Genomic DNA, 8,172 nt, shown 5'->3' on the forward strand with positions numbered 1-8,172 from the left:
TGAGTCTCACTCTGTCACCCAGGCTGGAGTGCAGTAGCGCGATCTTGGCTCACTGCAAGCTCCGCCTCCCGGGTTCACACCATTCTCCTGCCTCAGCCTCCTGAGCAGCTGGGACTACAGGCGCCCGCCACCACGACCTATTTTTTTTTTTTTTGTATTTTTTAGTAGAGACGGGGTTTCACTATGTTAGCCAAAATGGTCTCAATCTCCTGTCCTCATGATCTGCCCACCTTGGCCTCCTAAAGTGTTGGGATTACACGCGTGAGCCACCGTGCCCTGCCATTTGTTTTTTTCTTGAGGCAGAGTCTCACTTTGTCACTCCAGCTGGAGTGTGATGGCATGATCTCAGCTCACTGCAACCTCTGTCTCCCGGGTTCAAGCGATTCTTGTACAACCTCCCAAGTAGCTGGGATTACAGGCGCACACCACCACCCCCAGCTAATTTTTGTATTTTTAGTAGAGACGGGGTTTTGCCGTGTTGGCCAGGCTGGTCTTCAACTCCTGGACTCAAGCGATCAACCCGCCTTGGCCTCCAAAACTGCTGGGATTACATGCGTGAGCCACCTTGCCCGGCCTATCTTGTGTTTTTTAGTCAACTTTATATATCATTTATGTACAATTAAAATTGGGCCCATTTTAAGTGTAGAGTTTGATGAGTTCAATAAATGGGTGCGTGTGTGTGTGCGCGCATGCGCGGGTGTGTGTAGCTATGACTCCAATCAAATATAGAACATATCAATCACCCAAAAAGTTCCCTGTGCCCTTTGCAATCAATTCCCAGCCCTGGGCAATCATTTAGTTGCTTTCTGTCACTGTAGATTAGTTTTGCCCATTCTAGAATTTCAGATAAACTTATTCATGCAGTATGTACTGTGACAACCATGAAAATGTACCACTGGGCTGGGCAGAGTGGCTCACACCTGTAATCCCAACACTTCAGGAGCCTGAGGCAGGTGGATTACCTGATGTCAGGATTTCAAGACCAGCCTGGCCAACGTGGCAAAACTCTGTTTCTACTAAAAATACAAAAAATTAGCCGGGCATGGTGGCCAGCGCCTGTAATTCCAGCTACTCGGGAGGCTGAGGCAGGAGAATTGTTTGAACCCGGGAGGCGGAGGTTGCAGTAAGCAGAGATGACGCCACTACACTCCAGCCTGGGCAACAGAGCAAGACTCCATCTCAAAAAAAAAAAGATTCTTCCTTTCCAATCCTCCTTCCTTCCCTCTCTCCTTCCACAGATGTCAGGCTTACATCTTAGTCTGAAGTCTCACCCTGCCTTCTCCTGATTCTTCTTTGCAGTGTTTTAAAATATAGTCAGCCTTCCCTATATGTGGATTCTGCATCTGTGGATTCAACCAACCATGAATTGAAAATATTCAGAAAAAAAGGGTGGTTGGTTCCGTACTGAACATTCACAGACTTTTTTTTCTTGTAATTATTTGCCAAACAATACACCTATATACATAGCATTTACACTGTATTAGTTATTACAGGTAATCAAGAGACAATTTAATGCATACGGGAGGGCCAGGAATGGTGGCTAAAGCCTGTAATCCCATAGCTTTGGGAGACCAAGATGGGAGGATTGCTTGAGGCTAGGAGTTCGAGACCAGCCTGTGCAAAATAGCAAGACCCCCCTCCTCATCTCTACAAATCAATCAATAAATTAAAACAAAAATTTTTTGAGACAGAGTCTTGCTCTGTTGCCCAAGCTGGAGCGCACTGGCACGATCACAGCTCACTGCAACCTCAAGTGATACTTTTGCCTCAAGTGATCCTCCTGCTTTAGCCTCCCAAAGTGCTGGGATTATAAATGTGACCCACCGTGCCTGGCCATAAATACTATTGAATGAATGAATGAATTCCAGGCATTGTGCTAAGCATATTTAAAAGGTTGTTCCACTTAATTCTCAAAATAATCCCTATAAGGTGGGGTGCTATTATTTTAATTTTACAGACAAGGAAACTGAAGCACAGAGAAGATAAGCAAGTTGCCAAAGTTCACATAGTTGGTAAGTAAGAAAGTCAGTTCTGCAGAAGTAGTTGGGTTTGAGTTCGGTCATATCCCTTAAATCCTTTGTGGAATGAGATGAATCTTTATTCCACAAATAAGGTAAAGGTAAATAAATAAATCCTTAGATGAGTTAAGGAAAACAGAGTATTCAAGGAAAAATGAACAGCCTAAACAAAAAATACAAGAATGAGAAAAAGGCAAGTGGTTCAGACTGACTGAATAAAAAGGTTGATACAGGATATTTGCGGCCAGGCACGGTGTCTCACTCCTGTAATCCCAGTACTTTGGGAGGCCGAGGCGGAGAGATCACCTGAGGTCAGGAGTTCAAGACCAGCCTGGCCAAATGGTGAAACCCTGTCTCTACCAAAAATATAAAAAATTAGCCAGGTGTGTTGGTGCACACCTGCAATCCCAGCTACTCGGGAAGGTGAGGCAAGAGAATTGCTTGAACCTGGCAGGCGGAGGTTGCAGTGAGCCGAGATCGTGCCACTGCACTCCAGTCTGGGTGACAGAGCGAGACTCCGTTTCAAAAAATAAATAAATAAAATTTTAAAAATAAAATAAAAACAGGATATTTGCAGGAGGTAATGTTGGAAAGGGAAGTTAGGGCATATTATGAAGGATCTTTGAGAAGGAACTGATGAGAAGAAAGACAAAGTATTTGTGATTTTGTGATATTGTAAAGGGAATAATATTTCTTCAACCCAAGCATTCCTTGAAAGGAAATAACTCCATTCTATGAATACTTTGGGGAAAAAAAAGATGCAAAATATAATTCACACACAGGTATGGCCTGAAAACTAAGTTATATAGTTAGGTTTGAATCCTCTTTACCACCATCATCTCTACCACCACAAAGAAAATCCTTAAGAGATCCCTGCAGTAAGAGGTAGCTTTGCTCAGATTAAAAGAAAAGATGGTATCAGAGGTCACAGCCAAACACTACCTTCCATTTCACAGGCTAATGAAATGGATAAGGGAAGATGGTATTGATAAATTATTTTTTTCGCTTTTGGGAATCACTTTCTTAAATAAAAGAATGTGGGAAGTGAGGGAAGAAAAAGGGGAAATTTCTTCATTGTCCTTTGCAATGCTCTGCAGGGGGAAGGTAAACCCAGTCCCATTGCTCTGCCCATTTACTTAATGTGAACAAATAATAATTAGAAAAATATTTATTGTGGGCCTCCTCTGTGGCCCAGACATAGTAATAAATGCAGACTTCTTCCCCATCTCAACCTTTTTAGATATTATTTTACTCAGTGCCTTTTTAAAGGTTATTTTACTCCATGCCTTTGCAGACAAACCAGCTGTTCAGGCTGAGGTGACCCTATGGCTGCTGGTATGCATTATGATCATAGTATTTCCCCCAAAAGCCAAGGATAAGCCTCTGACACAGCACTTCTGTAATCCAACACGCCTCTCTCTGGGTAAGAATGCTTTACAGGCAGAACTGAGTGCAGGGAAGGAATCTGAGCTGTATGCAGCTCCCTTGGATATTTTGGTGGATAAAACCATGCAATCCAGCAGAGCAGGGCTGGAGTTCTGCCAAATGAGCTCAGACCCCCAGAAAAACTAATGACATTCATCAGGCTAGAAGAGAAGGCCCAGCATCTTTTCTTTATGAATTGCCAGAGCTGCCTTAAATCTTATGGAGACTTTAAGCATTGAAAGAATTATGATGTTCTTCTCTCCTATGAACACCTAATTCAAGATGAGTGCAACTAATTGCAAGTAAAGCTCTGATTTTTCATGGGGACAACTTTAATACTTTAAATGCCAAATATGAAATTATTTCCAGAAAAACTTAGAGATGCCCTTCCCACTTTGTTAAGAGTGTGCTTAATTTACCTATTGGATAATTTATCACTATACATTATGAAGGCCTGGGGGTTGAGAATTCCCTAACTGGTTTAAACTTAGCCGATACTTTTCAAACCATTTGAGATTTATACTATCTTTTGCCTTGTGCTGACTCCAGTGCATAACCAAGGAAACAGCCTATAATAGTGCCTTCCTCTTGCACCTCTTCTAACCTCCTCTTTCAGTGGTGGATCCTTAGACACCTTCGACAATTCAAGGGTCCTTCATCACAGTTCAAAAGCATTGGTGTGCCACTATATCTGCCAATTTTGCTTGACAAGACTGTGGAAGAAGCTACAGAATTGGAGAGCTCCCAAAAGATCATACTTGGTCATTCCAGGGGGTCAATAGTTAAATGAAACAAAACAGGAGGCTCCATAGCCATCAAACACTACTACCTGTGTCTGACAATCATGCATATCACAGGTCCCTAATAATCCCCTTGAGGCAGGAGAATAGTGTCTGGAGACAGGGAGCCTTCACTTCAGCCTCTGATTGGTGGGAGCCAAGTCTTCATTTGCAAAGGGTGTAACTTCACTTCAGCCTCTAATTGGTCACAGGCCAAGCCACCACTTCAGCCTCCAATAGGTCGCAGGCCAAGTCTTCATTTACATAGGATGTAATTAATAGGAAACCTCTAAAGGGTACTTAAACCCAAGAAGATTTGTGCAACTGGGGCCCTTGAGCCACTTACTCGAGCCCACTCCCACTCTGTGGAATGTACTTTCACTTCAATAAATCTATGCTTTCATCTTCCATTGGTTTGTTTGTGCATTTTGTCCAATTCTCTTTTTTTTTTTTGAGATGGAGTCTCACTCTGTCACCCAGCCTGGAGTACAGTGGCACAATCTCCACTCACTGCAACCTCCACTTCCTGGGTTCAAGCAATTCTCCTGCCTCAGCCTCCCGAGTAGCTGGGATTACAGGCACCCACCAACACGCCCAGCTAATTTTTGCATTTTTAGTAGAGATGGGGTTTCACCATGTTGGCCAGGCTGGTCTCGAACTCCTGACCTCAGGTGATCCACCCACCTCAGCCTCCCAAAGTGTTGGGATTACAGGCGTGAGCCACTGCGCCCAGCTAGTCCAATTCTTTGTTCAATATGCCAAGAACCTGGACAACTCGTAGTCAAGACCCTCCACTGGTAACACCCTTGGAAGGGCCTTTGAATTGCATCGTTTTACTACCAGGCTTCTGCCATAGCACACTTCCTAAATTCAATATAGATTTTTAAATACTTTATAATTCATATATGTATTTAATTTTTTATTTAGCTTTCTAAGTCTTATACATATGTATCAGAGCATTTTCTGTCTTTGCTTATAAAATTCTGGGACACAGATGCTAATGCTCCACAGTTTTCTTTTTTCTTTTTTTTTTTTCTGTTTGAGATAAGAGGCTTGCTCTGTTGCCCAAGCTAGAGCGCAGTGGCGAGATCTCGGCTCACTGCCTCCTGGGCTCAATTGATCCTCCCATCTCAGCCTCCTGAGTAGCTGGGACTACAGGCACACACCACCACACCCGGCTAATTTTTGTATTTTTTGTAAAGATGGGGTTCCATTATGTACCCCAGGCTGGTCTTGAACTTCTGGGCTCAAGCAATCCACCCGCCTCAGTCTCCCAAACAGCTGGGATTACAGATGTGAGCCACCACTCCTGTCCAGTTTTCTTTATAGAGCACTTTGGACAAGTGCTATGTGCAATTTAACACTTAAACATATTTTCTGGGCCGGGCACGGTGGCCCATGCCTGTAATTTCAGCACTTTGGGAGGCCGAGGTAGGTGGATCATGAGGTCAGGAGTTTGAGACCAGTATGGCCAACATGGTGAAACCCCGTCTCTACTAAAACTACAAAAATTAGCTGGGCATGGTGGCGCACGCCTGTAGTCCCAGCTACTCAGGAGGCTAAGGCAGAAGAATCGCTTGAACCCGGGAGGCAGAGGTTGCAGTGAACCAAGATCACGCCACTGCACTCCAACCTGGGCAAGAGAGCAAGACTCCGTCTCAAAAAAAAAATTTCTGGGCTGGGAACAGTGGCTCACGCTTGTAATCCCAGTCCTTTGGGAGGCCAAGGCAAGAGGACTGCTTGAGGCCAGGAGTTTGGGACCAACCTGTGCAACACACAAAGACCCTGTCTCTGTGAGACCCTGTCTCAAATAATCCTAGCTACTCCAGAGGCTGAGGTGCAAGGATCACTTGAGCCCAGAGTTTGAGGTTACAGTGAGCTACAATCATGCCACTATATACCAGCCTTGCTGACACAGCAAGACTCTGTCTCTAAATATATATACGTATATTTTGACAATATAATCATACTGGAATCATCACCCAGTGGAATGGCTGGAATACTGTTAACCAAGGAAAGAGGAGGATAATTAACAGACACCTATAGCCAATCTTTCTGTGACATTGTCAGACTTTGGCAGTGAGCCTGCAAAATACTCATCCAGCACACATAAGCAATTTTAGTACTATCATAATCTACATTTGCACTGTAATTAATAAAACCCAATTTTAGCAGGGCCTGAGATCACAAGGCTGAGTTTCTGCCCCTACCATCTAATCAGTGTGTGATCCTTCCCTATACCATTCAGATCTATTGTCTAGTCTCTTTGTGAGACTTGATGAAAGCAGAATCTTTGGTTAACTACTGCTGACCTTTATACTGAGACCCTGTGCTAGTTAGCGGCCTCATCTCTGCAGTTGCTATGGAAACTGTCCCTTTCTCCCCACAACCTATTCTGGCTCTCTGCCTCCACATGGTACTCTTACTGATTGCAGAAGAGGAGGCCTGTAAATCTCTCCAAGCTCTTTTCCAGATTCAGATCCACAAACGGGGGGGGGGGGGGCAGAGGTACAGCGGAACACCGTCTCATGTGTCATAGTCATGAGACTAGAGGGTGAGGCATCCCCAGCATCTGACATTCTGCCAGTACTCTTATTTTCCCCTTTCTGTGCAAAAAGGATTTTCAGGGCCATGTCCAAATTGGTTGCAGAGTGGACTGGCTGTTTTCCTGTAACACATGCTCCATGGTAGGGACCAGGATTGCTGTAAAGTTTTTTGTTTTGTTTTGAAACAGAGTCTCACTCTGTCACTCAGGCTGGAGTGCAGTGGTGCAATCCTGGCTTACTGCAACCTTCGCCTCCCGGGTTCAAGTGGTTCTCCTGCCTCAGCCTCCCGAGTAGCTGGGATTATAGGCGCCCAACACCACGCCCAGCTAATTTTTGTATTTTTAATAGAGGCAGGGTTTCTCCATGTTGGCCAGGCTGGTCTTGAACTCCTGACCTCAAGTGAACCACCCACTTTGGCCTCCCAAACTGCTGGGATTACAGGCGTGGGCCACTGTGCCCGGCCGCTGTGAAGTATTTAACATGCAGACACTGCCCAATCAGAACGTGGCTCACAGGCAGCCTTGCTGAATCTGATACTGTGTTCCTTTCTTTCCTGTACTATCTCCAAAGCAAAGGCAAACGGGACAAAAAAAAACCCAAAAACCCAAAAAACAAAACAAAACAAAAAAACAAAAAAACAAGTGCTGCTGGAGCCCTAGGGTGAAAGATAGGCGCTCCCATACATACATGTACAGAATGATTCGGTATCCTGGGTAAAAGACTACTCTGGAGTGTGGAGTAGGTGGAGACACACTGAGGAATGGGGGAGGCTAGACTAACAGCACTTTTTTACAAAGATGTTCCAGTCAGTCATAAAACAGTGCAAGGCCTCCTCAGTCCTTTCCCAACCTCTGGTTTTGATCTTAGAACTGTCAACCCCTTCTTTGGTGCAAACACTGCTCCTTCTGTTTTAAGAACTCCCGGGGGGTGGGAGGGGGGGAAGTAATACAACAGTCTCCTGAGGGAGACCCATCTCACTGTCACATCACTTGAAGATGGGAAGGTCTTTCCTAGGTTTTACTCAAATCCCCCTTGCTGCAGTCTGAGCTCATTGCACTCGAGTCCTGCACTCAGCAGAGATGGAAACTAGCCAGCCAACTGCTATCTTCAGAATAACAACTCACCAGGGACTCAAGGCCGGAAGGTCATTCTGTCCCCTCCAATACTGCGCAGCCTTCCAGAGCACTCCCAGGGCCCGGGGCAAGGACAGGGAAACCGAGGATGGAGACCTCGGGCAGGACCCAGGCAGGCAGTGACAAAAAACAAAAAAAAAAAAAAACACGCCAAACAACGATAATACAGACACACAGACACAGATGGAGGCAACGATACAAACTCGGAGGCAGAGAGGGACAAGATGGCTCCCCTCAGTTCGGGCGAGGCTGCGGAATTGCCAGACAGTAC

The 8,172-nt window shown here is 45.0% G+C and overlaps 1 protein-coding gene across 8 annotated transcripts in view, besides 1 other annotated feature; it reads right to left on the reverse strand.

The window, feature by feature from the left end:
• TP53BP1 (tumor protein p53 binding protein 1) overlaps positions 1-8,163 on the reverse strand; it is a 107,580-nt gene extending 99,417 nt beyond the window's left edge. For all 8 annotated transcript variants that reach the window (XR_007064488.1, NM_005657.4, NM_001411050.1 and 5 more), the window contains exon 1: positions 7,893-8,163. The gene's annotated coding sequence lies outside the window, so the exon portion shown is untranslated. The remainder of the gene's footprint in view (positions 1-7,892) is intronic.
• Positions 8,053-8,172: an enhancer, noted in NCBI's record as "active region_9314". NCBI's record gives its function as "activates an Ori minimal core promoter by ATAC-STARR-seq in GM12878 lymphoblastoid cells {active_cell/tissue: GM12878}" and the evidence as "EXISTENCE:reporter gene assay evidence [ECO:0000049][PMID:35858748]".

This window comes from Homo sapiens, chromosome 15, assembly GCF_000001405.40.
Source record: "Homo sapiens chromosome 15, GRCh38.p14 Primary Assembly".
Lineage (NCBI taxonomy): Eukaryota > Metazoa > Chordata > Mammalia > Primates > Hominidae > Homo > Homo sapiens.